The sequence below is a fragment of the Homo sapiens genome, chromosome 4 (genome assembly GCF_000001405.40).
Source record: "Homo sapiens chromosome 4, GRCh38.p14 Primary Assembly".
Taxonomy (NCBI): domain Eukaryota; kingdom Metazoa; phylum Chordata; class Mammalia; order Primates; family Hominidae; genus Homo; species Homo sapiens.
The window spans coordinates 64,294,863-64,313,807 of NC_000004.12; the positions used below are offsets into that span (position 1 = coordinate 64,294,863).

The window sequence follows — 18,945 nt, forward strand, 5'->3', positions numbered from 1 at the left end:
TTTCACTTAGGAAATTTATTAACTATTCTGATCTTGGACAATTTAATTTCTACTTTAATAGATAATGCATATCCACATAGAATTAAGTGCTTTTGACAATATAAGCCAGTATCACAATGCTTCAGCATTCATAAACATTTTATCTTATTATAATTTATATTACTGTGTTCATAAAATTATAAACCTTTTTTCAATTTGTACTTTCTGCACTTTTATTATGAAGCTCCTTCATACACATTTCTATCTTTTATACAGACATAAAGATAACATGTATTGTGCTTTAAAAGAAATACATTTAGTGTAAATTTTGGGTTTAACCAAAAATACATGTACTAACCAATATATTTTCAGTTTTCAAAATAAATAATGGTAAGACTCTAAATAAAAGTTCAGATATTGCATTTATATTATTACATAATGTGAAATATGTATTAATATTTTAATATATTTTATGAACTTATTTTTTGCATGAAACAATTATTTTATTGCAAAAATTTTGATATAGGAGATGTTATTATCAATCAATAAAAATAATTCAAATCATTTGATTTTGGAATTTGCTTAAGGCTTAAAATTATTTCATCTCTACTATGATGGTCCATTTCATTATCACAACCTTGGAAATATCAGAATTATTTTTTAATTTATAGAGCTCTCATGCAATATTGTATAACATAAAAATATGAAAATATAGCATAAAAATAGCACCATAAAGTGAATATCTTCAGAAAGAAAGTTAGTTTACATACACTAACTCTGAAGTAAATGATGTTTGAAAACATTCATGATTTTTTCACAGGAGTTCTTTTTACATTAGATTCGATATCACATATTCTAACAAGTGAAATCTCTATAGTTTTATAATCACTGCTGATTTTGATTTAAATCATTACTCTTATATTTCTGCAGTTTGGAGTAAGTTAGTCGTAGCTCAAAATAGACAATTATTATAAATTATAATGAAATGAGTGAAGCACAATATTGCCATTAATTTTATATCTTTAATTAGTCAACTAGTTTGCAAAATAAATTTTTAATAAGTAGTGATCCCCAAAAATTTAAGTATAAAAATTGATTCCTGTGTATGTTATTCTTTATATCAGATGCTTCAGGAAATTTGAGATGAGAGCAAAATGGCAAATGATGAAAACACACAGAGTACTAGACTTTGTTTTCAGTCAATAAGTATAAATCCTTTTATTGGTACCTATCAATGGTAGGTAAGTGATCAGAAAATTTGTCATAACCAAATCTCAGTAGACTGCTGAAAATGAAAGCACTGAACTTTGGCACCCTTTTTTCTTTCATGCATCTTATCCATAAATGCCAAATTTCATAAGCAGTTTCTTGGCCTTTCTGTGGTTTATATAGTAGGGACTTGCTCTCCTGTTTTAAAAGCTATGATACATTGTTCCCAGCGCCCTCTTCACTAATCAATGACCACTTCTGTACCCGAGGTTCTTTTCAGCTAAATATTACAAAAAGAGGTATACCTACTTGATAAAAGCATATTTTTTTTTCTTCTCCAAGACCATTTGCATTTTAGGAATAATTTTAAAACACCTAAGTGACTGAATAACTAATGACAACACTGAAGACACAGAGGCAAAACTAGGGAAAATAGTTATTTTAATTACTTTGTAAGCCATATCTTATATGCTATTATCAATTTCTTCCACTTCCTTCATTTTTGAAGACATTAAGAAAGGCTAGAAAAAGAGTTCCTTTTTGGTAAAATCCTCATTCTGCAAAGAATTGGCAAACTTTAATTGCTTCTGGAGAGTAAAAATAAAGTTAAGGGTACAAAAAGATAAAGAAAATAGGAAGGTTCTTTAGGTAAAGTATATTTTGTTTCACAATTGTGATTTTGGTATTTTTATTTGTTGGCTTTTGGGTGGAATTGGATTCAGAGGATGAGGTGGGGTCATGGAAATATAAAGAGACTAAATTATAAAATTTATTCACAATATTTACATCAGACAATAAGATTGCATCTAAAATTTGTGTGGAAAGTTATTCTGATGTCTTCATAAATTTGCCTGTATTTGATTCTCCTTAATTTTTCCTGTAGATTTGTGATACCCGAACATATCTGAGGATCAAATTGTGTTGAAAGTTAGAAAGAATTTAAACCAAGGGAGAGGTGATAGACTATTTCTTTGGATATAATAGAGATAGAAAAAACCTCACCAAAATGGAAGAATTTTCCACCAAATAGGAACCTGATTTTACAACATATTATGTATACATTGTAAATTATTTTGTTTTCCTTACAATTTATTTTGCTTAATATGTTAGAAAACTCAGAATAGTAGTAGAAAAAACAAGAGGGAGATGAAAATAAATTAATAACCATTAACAGTCTACAAAATAGATTAATCTGACATGGGTAATCGAGAATTAACTACAACTCTATTCAACATGGTTCTTCTATTATCTTCTTACTAGGTGATAATCTGATTTTACATAACGACAGGAACAAAATCAATTTAAATGAATAATACTTTCTTCATCTTATATTAAAAGAGTACATAGGTCAAAAATAAGAATAAGTTTTGTTAATATAACGTTTTATCAGCAAAAAAATAGCATTTACAATTAAGATAAGTCTTTTCTGGTTGAATTGCATATTATATAAGATCGATCCATTAATTTCTCCTTTGTTTCTTCTGTACAATATGGATTGTACTATCTACTGTTAGTTTATGTTACAATAAACAGTACATAGTAGAATATAATTTCAAATGCATTGGACTTGACATATGCTGACTATTCTTTCCAAATCATTTGCACATATAGTACTTATAATAACTTTCAAACATACATACATATATATTCAGTTATTATAAATTGAAGAATAGACTTTAAATTGCAGAATATTATGCTTTCAATGAATAGCAGACCTCTTTATGTTTATATGCAAACTCAATCAACTGGTTATTGTTATTATGTCTTATATTGGATTCAGTTTCCTAACACTAATATCTTACTATCATATATTATTTGTGAAAGTTAAATATGTCTTAACAGTAAACACTACTAAGAAATTTCAGGACTAACAGGTCTTCTTTATTTCTTATGACAATTTATGTGTGTAAAAGAGTCACAGTGGTCATTCTATCTTATTTCTAAATTTGGTTTTCTATGGAATATAACTACATTCAATTTTTTTACTTTTAAGAAAGGTTTTCACCTATGCTTAATATTATGCTATGTATAATTAAAAGCACAGGTTTTAATTATATTACTTTCAATATTTAAAAAATATTTAAATCTAAAGATTATATAAATTTAAAGTTTATCAAATTGTTAAATGTGTGATTGAAACAGACAATGCTTGCTATGTGCTTAAATGTGCAATTAAAGTTATCACATTTACCTACTTCATCTCTATTGGACATAGTCTATTACACCATCTATCAGTGTTTGTCTAATTTAGCATCTTTGGGTTTATTAATTTTTGCCTGGGGCTGTATGAAATATACTTGATTAACAAAGTGATATGTGAAGACGAAAAACCAGTAGCTTTATAAGAAAGCAGAATTTTTAAGTCTCTGGGGAAAAAAAGTATAATTGCAAGCTATTAGAATTTTGCTTATGTCTAATTATGCCTCTTAACATTTTATGAAAAATATTATAACATATTTATAGTAACATAACTTTTTTAAATAAAAGAAATGACTTATTAAAAGTTTTATTTTATAGTATTATCATACACATTTGAAAAGAAGGAATAAATACATACATAGCCATATTATATTTGAGAAAAGGGAAGAAATTAATAATATTACATGAAAAGGGAGTTGTCTTAATTACACAGAAAAAAATTATAACCCACAATTTTTTTGAAAAAGTGGACAACATCATAAGGAGGAGAAAAAGTAGACTAATAATCAGATATTAATCTAAAACATACTGAAATTACTAACAAATAGGTGGTTATTATTTTGTTTATCCATGAATTTATTCTTCTCTTCCCTCAGATTTACTGAGTAGTTAATATCAGAACATTAGTCTTAATACAACAGGGGTTGTAGTACGCTGTATACAACATTAAATAACGCTGTTACAACACGTGAATCACAGAATTCCTCTCCTTGAACAGTATGCACAATTGGAAAATTACAAGGCTGTGATATATTTTCAACATATTGTTGAAGAAATTCCAAATACATAAATAATCTGTGCTATCTATTCAAACAAGTAATGAGTTCTTGCTAGGCCAAACTATATGCTGAAAAGACAAAAAAAAAGATCTCTCCTTTTCAAAGCCAACACAGTGGAGGACGTTCTTACCTAAACTCTTAACTAAAGATATGTAGAGAGAGAGGAAGCAAGAGAGGGTCATGTGAGAGCTCCTTACAAAGTGTGGCAGGTGATTTATGACCTGTATTAAAATGGTTAGAAATAAGTTGTTGAACACAAACTTTGCAAGAAATATGAACTTGTAGATGAATCATAGGAGTTAACTAATTTATCAATGACAGGGATGAAAGGAGAACATGAACACAGATGAAAGCAAGGAGTTAAAGAGCTTATAAGCACTTAAAAAAAGTGTCAAATGAAATAATTAATGCATTTTAGAAATAATCAAGAGTCTTGTGTACCCAGATTGATTTCCACACAATTTTATCTACATATATGTTTATTTACATATAACAATCTAAAGAAATTGAATGAGAACAGTTTAGAAAGAGCCAGGTTTCATTAAAAAGGCTAACTCTGAGTTCATCTTGAATTAGTTAAATTAACAATTATGCCAAAGTGTTTTTGGGGTGTTTGTCTGTAAGATTTGCAAAAAATTTTTGCTCTTTATAGGTTGGTAAATGTGCACACAGTAGCATCAGTGAGTATAAATTTTTCAAATATTTATTGTATTTCAAATAATTCTAATCAACCTTTAGAGATGACTACAACATTTTGATTATAAAATTTAGAGAGCTAAAGACTTGATTATAGAAAGTTATATGATTTACTTCATTTTATATCATTATGTATATTATATAAATATATATCATATTTTCTACATGACAAATCTTCAGATACAGTCTGTTTTTCTTAATAATACCAAAATTAGAGCGTGAATAGCAAAATATATATATGATACATACCAGAAAATTGATAGCAGATACTGTGATTTGCCTGTTTCCAAATGCTGGAGAGTAGAAAAAGAATATGTCATGCAGATACTCATAGTTTGGATTGTCAAATATATAGACATAATTCAGGCAGTATTTATTGGGTATAAATTCTATAATCAATAGAACTGTCTAGTATGTAATTCACCTTTTGGGATGATACTTTTGCAATCTAAAGTGTTGACTTTTTTTTCACATGTACTTTTGTTATTAACATAATGATATTTAAATTACAAATGGAATATATTATTAATTTGTATTATTAAACTCCTTGAAGGCAGATTTAGAATTTGTCCCATTTTAAAAGCACACTTAAGTATGGCCAAGCATATAATGGCACCACAAAATAACTCTCATTTTTAATGTTTAACAATAAAAAGGAAAATGCTGATTATAGTCATTTGTTTTCTACATTGATGTTTTGTCACAGGTAGAATTATAAGTATTTTATATTTTTATTATAACAAATATATGATGTATTACTTGCCTGACCTTAAAATAAAAAAAAATATAGGTTAAGTTCCAAAGGGCAGATAAAGAGTAATGTAGAAAACACCATTTAAAGCAATGTTCTAAAGGCAGGGTTGCTCACTGTGGAAAAGTTGGAATATTCAATAATAATAAAAATAGAATTATTTGATAAACCTATCATCATATTTATTAACAGTTGCATTCCTATCTTCTCATTTTATGTATGTGAGCATGTAAATTGTATTTATATAAACACATTTGCATCTACACATAAAAATATTATCCCTTATTTTAAAATGTGCGTTTTTCACCTAACAATATATTTAAAGATTTCTCAATAGTATTAAACACTCATTGTCATAACGGTAATTGAATCTTCATAATAATGCAAGACATGGCTAGCTCTTAAAACATTAATCATAGAATGGCTGAAAAGGTCACTTTAATTTTATGTGTGATAAATAATACTGCTTTGAACATCTTTACGTATAAATCTTTTACTAAATTTTGTTTTCTTGAGCTAGAAATTTAAAAGCATATTTTAGTTAAAGGTTACATAAATATTTTGCATAGATATATATTCATAGAATATATATATACAAACCATATGTACATGAATTGGAAGTCTTGTTTTTATGAAGTTTATATATCTAATAGTAAAATAAAAAATATTAGCAGAGAACATTTAGGAAATAGAGAAAAGTAGTAAGGGAAAAGAAAATGGACTAAAATCTCATCAACCTTAGAAAACCAGTGAATATTATTATTTTCCCCTTTGACATATTCATATATGTTGTACATTTTTATAATATTTGATATAACAATTTTGTAACTTACTTTTCTCTTAATGTTGTACCAATTTTGCCATATAATTAAACATTCTGCTTTTGCCAAATCACAGTTGGTTGCTATGCATCTGTATCAGCCATAATTCTTTTATTTATACCTACTATTCAATGTAACTTTACTCATTCAACTATAGTTATCAAGAATTCGCATGACAGGCACTGAACTTTGCGCTTGTGAGAAAGTACACACAAAGCCAAAGTCAATCTTAATTGAACTTATAGTCTGACCCAGAAAAGTACTAATCACATGATAACAAACGGAAGTTTGTTAAAATTGATAAGTGCTACTATACAGATCTATGTAGTATTTAATAAAATAACTGAAAAGGATATCTTGTAATCTGGGAGGATCAGGGAGGATTCTTCTGAGTACACAATTAAGCTTTGATTTATAAAAATGAATGCACATTAGTATAGAGAAGAGAGGGTTCAAAGCACATTAGGCAGAGTACAGTAAACATATGCCTTATTCTTATTTTTAAATGAAAATGAATAATGATGTGATAAAAACAAGTATCGAGTGAAGAGTCTAATATTTTTCATATTTATTTCCAAAAAAACAAAGTTATAGGTAGTGCGAAGAGAAAAAACTTTCTATTTACATTAGTCATTATAACACTTATTAAAATGTTTAATAATATTTTATAATCTGTATAATGTTTCACATTTAGATAGGTAAAAATAACCTAATAGGCCATTATTCTTTGATTATGTTGATAGTAGACATTTATATATTAAGATTTTTGAACATATACATTCTGATTTGGGTATATTAAAATGTTCCTGCCATTGGGCAGTTTTACAATTTTGATAATCTATTTCATTTAGTTGTATTTAACTATTATTCAAGAAGTATGGAAAATAAACTCTAGTAGAATATGTGATGGAAATATGTATACAACATGCTGTTTTTCAATTAAGTTAGCTTTTGTGTATTAATATACAGATGCTATTAACTTTATGCAGCCAAATTTGATGAGAATAGATTGTGGTGAAAATTGTGATAAAAGTCAAACACTGTTACCACAGAGAATTCTGAAAGGAGTGGGAAAAAGACCAGTTAGCATAGAGAGCAAAGAAGAGCAGTGTCAACTATGACGAAAAAACAACAACAGAAAACCAGAGAAAATAATAATCATGGCAGTAATGCAAGAAAAAAATCCTGAATTAAAGACTTAATTATGTATGTTGAAGGAGCATACCTTATATAAAGTGAAAGTACAGAATATGTGATTAAAGATTAAACAGGTAAAGTCCAAAAGTCCAGTAACTTTTTTTTCTAATTTTGAGGGTAAAATGAGGGAAACTATGTTGTAAGCATGCATAATTTAATGAAAATTTTCAAGAGGAACAATATAAAAATTGGATCAATTGTCTGTTTTGTAATCTTAAGCAGATGGGTTTAATGTGGCAAAGTAAGATATATTAAAACAAAAATTAAAAGAATTACTGATTTGTTTAATTGAAGTGTTTCATTTCATCTTCCTTAAATATGATTATTTATTAAGATTATACCTGCTTTGCTGAAAACAGCTTTAATATATACTATTTCCTTTTTTGTTACCTTGTCATAGTTGCTCTTTAATTATTATTATATCTTTTACTGTTAAAATAATTTAGGAAGTGTTTTTAAATATCACCTCATTTTGTTTTTAAGAATTTTTTTGTGCTTATATTGTATTTTTAAGGTTTATTTTATCTCACCTAAAGATAATGTAGTTTGTGCTATTTGTGCTTTGTGAGTACAGAATTGAATATTTATGATGCAATATATAAGCAATTTCTAAAATTAAAATAAATCTATTAATTATAATCAAAGTTTTGAAATGGGAAAATATTCTATTAAAGACTTAGAAAGTGATAAGAAATGAAAGGGAAGTTTTTTTGCAGCATAAATATAGAAAATAGTGAAATTTTACAGAAAAAAAACAATAAATGGCATAAGCATGGAACAAATTAGAGAGAGTCTCTGGGTCCTGTTATTTGTCAACAATGTGTGTTAGGTATCCTAAGCCCATATAACTAATAGTTTAAGAAATAGGAGTCTCTACTACCTGGATCAAAACTCAAGATAAAGATGATATGCTCATTTTTGTGAAGGGGATCTCCATGATGATGTCTATACAGAATTTATGTAACTGACTGGCTGTGGATTGGCTAACCTCTTGCACAGTTTACTGTTATCTGTATCTATGCTATAGATTATTTTCCAGTTATTTGCTGAGTAAATTTGGAAAATCTGCCTACATTTTCTAAAGTTTAGATATTCATCTGTAAAGTGGGAATACAAACAGTATAATTTTCATGAGGATTCAATGAGATAAAATGTGCCAACCATTTAGCATTTACCTAATAGGAAGCCTTAATAAAAGTTAATTTATGCTTTCTCTATTAAAGGAAAAAGCAGCTTATTCTATCATATACTGTTGTAGAAGTCACATTATTATTTAGCATGATTTAACTAAAGCATAATAGCTGTATCTCATGTATATTACAACCATGTTAAGTGTGGACTTCCTAGACAAGATATTCATTTTCCACTTGTCATAAGTATTAAAATGCTATAATATGTTTTCACAGAATTTGAGTCCTAATTGTATCTTATGCATTTAAAGATCTTGAGCATAGTGAAATTATCTTTTCATGGCATCATTTTTCTAGCCTTCAATGGGGAATATTAAAGCCACAAAATAATGTTTTTAATTAAAAATAAATAGCATATTTACAGTTATTAACAAATAGTCAGTTTTCAATAAATGTTTTACATATATTAACAAAATTAACTACTATTATTATTTTGTAACCAATATGGCAATGAAGCATTTTTCAGAAGTGTATCTTATTAACATAGTCTGGAGCAATACTTCTATGTGCTAACGTTGTAAAGGTAATAAGTACATCTTATAAAATATTTGAAAAATCAGAAGATATAGGAAATTTTCACTTTCAATATTCATAGTTAATTGTTAGTATTAAGACCAGCTGAAGTTTTAATCATTAAAATCAATGACTCTTCACTTCCCAGACTGAACTTGTTGGTTTTGGCAAAGACCCTGAACATTGTAATTCTCTATATTACAACTTCAGCCAAGAAATAAAGGAAGTTTAAGTTATTTTCTAAAATTTAAAAATAAAGTTTGAATATACCATTTATTTTAAACTTTGTAAACACCAGAAATAGCCCACAAAAATAATTGTCAAATAAATGAGAAATCATTTAATTGTTGAGCTTTACATTGTGTGCCTTATGTGCTACAGTAAGAGCTGAAGAGAGAAAAGTCCACATTGAAGGAAGAAATGAAATTCCTTGATCAGGGCAAACTTTTTCCTTGAAGATTAAGAACCAAGGAATTAGGTTTCATCCAGTGTACATTCAACCAAATGTTTCATCTGAGTCAAGAGCCATGATATTTTAGTAAATCAAATCATAAATAGAAACTGATAAGTCACAGAAAAATTGGCCCTATTTTTTGTTGAATTATATTTAAAAGAATAATTAAATGTTTATCATTTACTTGTAAAATATCTGATAGCTGATTAGTATATGATTGTATAATTATACAATAATTTTATCTTTAATTGTTGTTTTTTCATTTTATTAGCTGTTTTTTTGGAGGTTTACAACCTACTAATATTTTTGGTGGTTCGTGTAGAAACAAAATAAATAAAAATATATGAGTCAAATTGGTCTTGTAGGCCTACATAAACATTTAAAGAAATATGATATGAAAGCAATTTAAAATGAATTGTTTCATTTTTTACTTATTCCTTTATGTATGTCATTTAGAATAGAGTTTTTAGGTTGGTCCTTTAGTATACGGTTAGTTAAGAAGAAACCCTACATACATGGTGGTGTATATAGTGGATGATTAATGTAGTAGGCAATCCAAGAAGTAAATCCCCAGTAAAAGGCACAACTCTGCAAACAAAACAAAACAAAATAAAAGTTAGGAAAAATATGTAATATATATTTCAATTGTGACATACATTTATATTACATGCATGTCACAATTTGAAACCACCACATACATTTATATTAGACACTGCAGCATTTATATGTAAAATGGTACAAATTGTCTAAGCTAAATAAACAGAATATTACTTTGCCCAATGTAATAGTGAGAGAGGAACCAGGTAGGGGCTGGTTAGGCAGGCAGAGAGGGAGGGTCTCAGAAGAGGGCCAACACCTGTGGGACTGTGCCTGCACTGCCCCTGTTATGGAGTTAGCAGGACAAAATATGGTTAAGAATTTCTTGTTATACCAAGATGTTTGCTCAAAAGGGACTTTCCAGCCACCTGCAGAGGCACAGACAAGGACTGAGGATGTCCTAAAACAATCCTGACCACATTATAATGCTATTAGCATTGTGCTTTAACCCTCCCTGCTCCATGGGTTTCACTTAGGCACTCATGAGTAATAACCAAGATGGAGTAGCTATAGCCAAACCCAGGCATGCACAGATGCAACACCCCCAGGGGGAATTTTACCACTCCCCTTAGGGTAGAACCCACAAAAGACTTCCTTGTCTTTGCCACATAAAAGACTGAGGACTCAGACCCATTTCTTACAACCCTCTTCATGTCCCTTGTTGCTGCTGAGAGCATTTCTATTGCTTAATAAATGCTACTCTGCCTTACACACTCTCCAGTGTCCATGTTCCTTATTCTTCTTGGTCGTGGGACAATAACTCAGACCTCACTAAACTAAGGAATAAGGAGACTGCAACATTTTGGGGGATTGCTCAGGATCATGGGAAGGGTGAGTAAGGGCAGACTTCTTTTACTTTCATTTCCAAGAGCTCTTGCCTCTCTTTATTATATGAAACCAAACAAAACACTGGGCCTCTGTCAGTCAGTTAAGAGTGAATAGCATGGCTGTTGCTCCTACAAGACTCAAAAGACAAGCTTACCAATGAGGACTTTGTCAAAACCTCTTCATCCGTGGGTGTTGGGAATGTTTATTCTGTTCCAAAACAGTTTCCCTTCATGGAGCTCTAGCCGTTGTGTGGGACTTAGAAGGATATCCTGGGGCAACTGAAGGTATCTGGCTGAGGCTAGATCTTGGTGTTACGCAAAGGCCTTTGGACTGGCTCCAGTCCCTGACACCCCATTAGGGTGTTGGATAAAGATTTCCAGTATTTTATATCACATTTTCTTTCTTTTGAGACTATCATCGTTGCTCTCCCTTCTTTATATTCAATGTTATGTATGTTTTTGCAACCAGGAGAGATAATATTATTGGGAAAATTGAGTAGCTTGCTTACTCATCAGAAGTGTAACCCAGAACAATGTTGCTTTTACCTGTTCTTAGAACAAGGGATATATAAAGATTTAGAGAGTTTCCTTTCTCCAGTCAAGGAGACCCACTGGCACTGTAAAGGAGGCTATTTCTCCCTGGGTGACTATTCTCCTCTCCATCTAGGCTGCTTCTTATTTCCATGAGAGAAGTCAGCACTGCTCAGCAAGCATTGAAGTGTGCACTATGTGAGAAATCAATTTTCTTCTCCTAGGAGGCTTATTTTGAGGGATGCTCACCAAGCCCCAAACTCCTCTCTTTCAAACCTCTGTCTGAAAAGAATTTGGACACAAAGTTACAGGCTAACATTCCAAACTTTGCCAAGGTGCCTGACAAGGCAAAGATTTGTTTCTGTGGAGAGCTCTATAGGTCCTATGTCTGGGGGAGCCCTAATTCCCTGGTTACTAGCACACAGAATTAGCCAAGCCAACCCCTATATTTTCAAAGACACCTATTCTTCCTCCAAGTTTAACAACCCCTGGGCAGGAAGAAGGGGCTAGTTTTGGAGGTCAGTCACTTTCATTTCCTTGAATGCTATGATCTGGCTCTGTCCATTACCTATCAGTGAAGGGATGCTTTTTAAAGATTTAAGGACACCCCCCCTTCATTAATGTTTCTTGCCCCAGTTCAATTACTTCAAGGTATTTTCCAAGTTTCAAGTGGGAAGCTTTGGGTATGAAGCTCAAAAGAAGAAATAGATCTGTGGGACCCCAAAGGTGGTCAACACTGGAGAGCTGGGGTGCAGCATAGGTAAGTGTGACTATTCCTACCTTCCAGCCCTCCTGGTCTGTTGTTGGAGGTCACACTTGCATCCACAGGTGACACCTATAAAGGTTGCTGGGACCCAGAGGATACAAGGACGAGGAGAGGAGAAAGGAGATGCTTTTTCTCTCTCTCTCCCCATCCAAGTTCACCCTAAAAGTGGAAGACAGACTAAGGGATGCCTTTTCTCCCCTCTCTTTCCATATGTGTAACAATCCATCTTCAGCCTGCACTCCCCTTAAGAACAACCTGGATCACTGGGACTCCTTTTACCCTCAGACCCTAATGTTCACTCTGGGCAAGCCCCAACATCACTCATTTATAGAGGCCTTCCAGAATTTAACCCATGTATATAAAGTGTTCTAAAAGGATGATATGTTACTCTTAAATCAAACTCTGACCACTGCTGAGAAACAAGCAGCATTGCAAGCAGTAAAGAAATTTGGATATGAGCTTCATATCTCACATAATACCAGAGACAAGGGAAGGCCTTATCCAGTTGGAAAGACAGCAGTACCGTTGAATGACCTAAATAGGCTTCTAATGATAATATGGGAAGATGGAGGAGAAAACACTTTCAAATGTGCATACTGGAGGACTTACGAAGTACTAGAATTAGGACCACATGAGAATCCCTCTGCCTTTCTGGAACAACACCCTCTCACAGCCTGAAAAAGCCAGAGCAGTTATCTCCCCGTTCCACCTAATGGCAGTTAGGGTTAACACTCCAGAGTGGGGAATGAGAGAGGAGGTAGGTAGGGGCTGATTAGGCAGATAGAGATAGAAGGTCTTGCAAGAGGGACAATGCCTACAAGAACACACCTGAACCACCCATTATGTAGCTGGCAGAAGGAAATGTGGTTAAGAATTTCCTCTTATACCAAGATGCTTACTCAGAAGAAACTCTCCAGCCACCTGCGCAGGTACAGACAAGAACTGAGATGCATACTAAATTGATCCTGATCCTGAACTCATAGTGCCATTAGCATTGTGGCTTCAGCTTCCCCCCTCCACAGGCTTTCGTTAGGCACTCATAAGTAATAGCCAAGATGAAGTATCTATGGCCAACCGCAGGCATGTGCCGATGCAACAACCCCAGGGGGATCTCTACCCCTCCCCTTAGGGTGTAAGCCACAGAAGGCTTCCTTGTCTTTCCCACATAAAAGGCCCAGAATTTATCCGAATTTATCCCCATTTCTGGCAATCTTCTTCAGGTACCCTCTAGCTGCTGAGAGCTTTTATGTTGTTTAATAAATCCTACTCTGCCCTAATCACTGTCTAGTGGCCATGTGTCTTAATTCTTCTTGGTTGTGAGACGAGAACTCAGACCTCACTAAACTAAGGCATAAGGAGATGGTAACAGAAGCATTTTACAAATACTATTTTGATATCACTAAGAAAATGCATTTCTTTGCTCCACTTGTACTAATATTAATGGATATTTGTGATATATGTCAAGTTAACAGAATATTTTAGAAAAATTTGGTGAGAATTATTTTGTAAGTAGTAAATATAAATGAATTACTAAAAATAAAACATAAATTATCAATTGCATAAGATACACTAATATTTTTCTAACAATTAGTGAATTTAAAAAATAAATTATTTGATAATTGGTAGTAACACATGTTGATTGACTGGAATGGAAATGGCTCGGATTTAGGAGTTGTAGTCTATAATGGTGATCTTGAACTGATTTGATTGATTGTAATATCTTCTATTAAAAAAGCAGTCCTAAATAACTTCTGAGGTCTCAGAATTTCAGTTTACTGCTTTACTGCAATGACAACAATAGAATGGCTGTTCTGTTGCGATATTACAAAGCAGATATTTGACAAAAAACAGGACACTTTTTTTACAGACAAACCTTTTTCTGAAAATAGACTTTAAATTGAAAAACAAAATTTAGCTTAAATTGAAAATTGAGTTTCAACATGTTGTCTAATGTACTTTCCCATGTCAATATTTTACATATTTTTTCATGTTTTGGTAGTTATTTGATAGTTCATAACTGTTGCTTTCACAATTTCTAGAAGAGCAAACACACTAGCATCATATTGACAACTGCCATAATAATGGAATATAGTATCACCATTTTAATCCCACACAGATGTATATTTGTAGGAACGTTCTTATATCATATTCTGCTCTTCAAGTGGCACTCAAATAATCTGAATTCAGTGCTTAGTATTACCAAAATTAAAAGATTCCTAGGAGTATCTAGCTTGTCTTGTAATATGAGGTAATGACAAATCTTTCTACAGGGTTAAGTTCAAATTAAATATATCACGCAAAAAGAATGACATTTTAGGAAAAGAATGTTTAAGTATGCTTATGCAATTAAACGTGAAAATCTAAGTTTCGGAAGGAAACAATGATTAAATATTTTGCAAAGGATCCAACATATAAAATGTCTCAATCATTATTAAAAACACAAAGCATCCTCACCATTATCAAATTTTTCAAAGGTGTGTGTCCTGCAGAAACTTTGTGAACAAATAAGGTTTCCAAAAGGTATCGGATGTAGTGTATACAATGACAGAAGCAAGCCAAGCTGGAAAAAAAAATAAAACATAAACATGAAAATCCTTTTGAAGTTCTGGCTTGCCTCATGCATGATACATTTTAATTTTTTTAGTTTAATATGCTAGCTATTGGGAAACATTGTTTCTGGTAGCTAAAACACAAATACTTGCTTTAATATTTTATTTTCACAATTTTCTAAATTTAGTAATAAAAGTAGCTGTTATAAGAGTCTCTATAAATTTACTTCTGATGACATTAGAAATATTTTATAATACCAGTCATAAACTGTTATGCTCACACCTGTCCCAGGAGTGGGTATAAATATAATAATTGCAAATATGTTCATATCGAAATACTTCGACTGAAACAGACAATTTACAAGTTTTAAAAATATCCAAAGCCTAGTTGGAATGTATTTGACATTTTATAATAGTCAGAATAACTTTTTAATTGTCTGGTTGTCCTTTAGCAAGTACTAAGATTGAGAAAATTTAAATTGCATTTTCTGTGCAGTAATAATGTAGTTTTGTGCTTTGTTTTTGTTTTGTTTGTTTTTTCCTATCTAATTTTGTCCCTTTGTGTGTTTGTTTGTGTTGCTGTACTCTAAGTTACCACCTCTTCTTATCATTTTTATATAATTACTATCTTAAAAGTAAACAAAAATGTGATTGATTTACAGCAGTATATTTTTCTGGATATACTATAAACAATGTATTTTTCATGAAGATTTGTACCTATTTTGTTACATATAAAAATGTGAAATCTCAAAAACTTTGGTTGCTATTAAAAAATTCAATACGGATCAAAGATGACCTACTTTTTGTGCGTTGTTTTTGTTTTTAGAGACAGGATCTTGCTGTGTTGTCCAGGCTGCAGTGCAGTGGCATGATCTCTCAGTCTTAAACTCTCAGGCTCCAGCAATCCTCCCACCTCAGCTTCCTGAGTAACTAGACTACAGGACCACACCGCCATGCCCGGCTAATTTTTTTGTATTTTTTGTAGAAATGGGTTAAACCTTGTTGCCCAGGCTAGTCTCAAACTCCTGGGCTCACATAATCAACTTGCCTGGGGTTCCCCAACTGCTAGGATTACAGGCATGAGACACCACATCCGACTGATGACATACTTTAACCAGTAAAGGTTGAGCATAAAAATCAGCATATCATTTACTCTATATAATAATAAAATTAGACATTGAGTTTATTTATACGTTTGGGAGTTGATTTTAGTGGAAATGATTTCTGGTACGAGTAGGGTGACTTTAGGAAAAACAAATAATTAAATAAACACTAACCTGGTTAAGTCAGCAGCAAATTTATCATTATTCATTAATTCGTAAAAACAAAACTGTGAACCTATTATGTAACATAAATGTATTATGTGGTGCAGATACCTATAAGTATAATGGCAGACAAATTCTGAAAAAGGTGAGAGAGCAAGCATCATGAATGTCTGGGGGAAGAGCTCTCTAGAAAGTCAGACAAACAAAAGCAGAAGTCCAGATACAAGAAGCTGCCTTGTGAGCACACAGGGTAGTTAAGGAAATTGGTATCTCTCCTCATTTTATTGTTCTTTTGTAGATGTAGTTACAAAAACCCTTGAGTAATAAAATTTTTTTGTTTTATAAAAAAGCAGCAATGTAGCAGAGCCCTAAGTGAGAAATTTTGGTTCAAGCTATGATTTCTCTATATTAGTACATTCATTTATTTTATATTATACCATGAGAGCATAGAAACCTCCATAGAATGTACAGCTAGAGACTTAGTTTATATATATGCCATCATGCACATCACTGCTAACTCATCAAGTCTGATTTTATTTCAAAATATTATTATTCTATTTAATGATGTTTAACTTCCAAACACTGATTAGTTTTTGTGGATTGCTAAATTAACTGTAAAACCATAAATAGGTGTGAATCCAATTCTTTTTCCCAACCAAAGTATTGATAAAATCTTATTTATTTTAAATCAAGTAAGGTTCAGGATATGAGGGCACAGCACAGAAAAGCACAGCTTCAACTTTACAAATAGCAAGGGAGGCATGGCGCTACACCAGGTTTCTGGTTTCTGTTGAAGAAGATAAGGAAATGTTCAGGTAACAGGTTCATAAGATACTTGACGCAGATACAGTTCCTATGGGAGATGTACCTTTAGTCCCCGTGTGCGGAGGTTTCTAAGTGATCTGAAGAACTTTGTGGTGGTTCGGTCACATATAGAAATCTGCCTTCTACATGAACTTAGCAGAAATTTCTTTTGACATTATAATATGATTCAAAGCAATTTTGGAGACAACATTTTAATGTGTTTCAATTGGATGTGGAATTTAAGAATTCATCTTAAAACAACATCATCCTGAAAATTAGGTGACAGAAGCCCTGTGATTATTTTCTAAATCTAGATACCTAAATCTAGGTACCTAAAACTAGATACCTAAATTTCAAAAGTAGTTTGTGTATCTGCTGTGGAATTACTTTATATAAACTTTACATATTTGTTATTTGGGAATAATGTGGCACAAATACATTCATCACTGAGATACTACCAAACATGCTGTATTTCTGTTTAAGAATAGTAAGGCTGGTGCAGTGGTGCATGCCTATAATCCAGGCACTTTGCGAGACTGAGGCAGGAGGATCCCTTGAGCCCAGGAGTTCAAGAACAGCCTGGGCAACATAATGAGACTTCATCTCTAAAATTTTTTTTTAAGCATTAGCTGGTTGTGATGGTGTGTACACCTATAGTCTCAGCTACTTAGGGGGCTGAGGTGGTAAAATGGCTTGAGCCCTGAAGAGTGAGGCTGCAGTGAGCCATAATTTGAGCCACCGCACTCTAGCCTGGGCTACAGAGCAAGACCCTCTCTCAAAAAAAAAAAAAATGTAAATATGAGTCAATTCCTTTGAGAATGACACTAAAGAAAACTTTTTTCATGCTCTGCTACGTATCTGGTATATGTTACATATTTAGCCTAAAAAAAGAACGCTTTTAGGTTCTCCTTCCAATCTCTTTATCCCAGCCGCTTTTAAAAATAATTGGTCATTCCTTTCACTTACGAAAATGTGAAGAAGTACCTTCCGCCATAATTGTAAGTTTCTTGAGGCCTCCCCAGCCTTGCGGAACTGTGAGTCAATTAAATCTTTTTTTCTTTATAAATTACTCAGTCTTGGGTATTTCTTCATAGCAACATGAGAACGAACTAACACAGTAGCTAATCAGGACAAGAAAGGAGGTCAGTGTGGCTGGAGTACTGTAATTAAAGGTAGGCAAAACTTGATTCGAGGTAAGAAAGTTAGGATGAAATTAGTTCTTTATCTTTTAGTATCCATATGACCTAAATACTTACAATTTGCTTCTTAATTCACTTGGAGTTTATTTAATGCATAAAATTTGTTCAGGTCTTTTTTTTTTTCAACAAATTTCCCTCCCCAGATCCCACTATAGCATCCTGAATAAATATTCTCTTTCAATTTAATTTGGCATATATTTCTTACAGAGAGACAGAGAGAGAAAGATTATTTTCACAATATGCTAAACACCACAATTATATAGAATACTTTGTTTATTGCCTTACTCCTTTTTTTTTTTTTTTTTTTTTTTGAGACGGAGTCTTTCTCTGTCCCCCAGGCCGGAGTGCAGTGGTGCGATCTCAGCTCACTGCAAGCTCCACCTCCCGGGTTCACACCATTCTCCTGCCTCAGCCTCCCGAGTAGCTGGGACTACAGGCACCCGCCACCACGCCTGGCTAATTTTTTGTATTTTTAGTAGAGACGGGGTTTCACCGTGTTAGCCAGGATGGTCTCGATCTCCTGACCTTGTGATCCACCCGCCTAGGCCTCCCAAAGTGCTGGGATTGCAGGCGTGAGCCACCAGCACGGCTGCCTTACTCTTTTTTTGTCATACTTCAA

The 18,945-nt window shown here is 32.2% G+C and overlaps 1 protein-coding gene across 9 annotated transcripts in view; it reads right to left on the reverse strand.

Moving 5' to 3' along the window:
• The window catches only part of TECRL (trans-2,3-enoyl-CoA reductase like), a 133,163-nt gene that overhangs the window by 18,565 nt on the left and 95,653 nt on the right, over positions 1–18,945 (reverse strand). For 8 of the 9 annotated variants that reach the window (XM_024453961.2, XM_005265664.4, NM_001363796.1 and 5 more), the window contains 3 exons: positions 14,964–15,069; positions 10,304–10,376; positions 5,112–5,155 (listed from right to left, as the gene is read on the reverse strand). In XM_024453961.2, the coding sequence (XP_024309729.1) occupies positions 5,112–5,155; positions 10,304–10,376; positions 14,964–15,069 (223 nt within the window). Of the gene's footprint in view, positions 1–5,111; positions 5,156–10,303; positions 10,377–14,963; positions 15,070–18,093; positions 18,249–18,945 lie in introns of those variants that run through there. The other variant, XR_001741192.3, reaches the window with a different exon arrangement.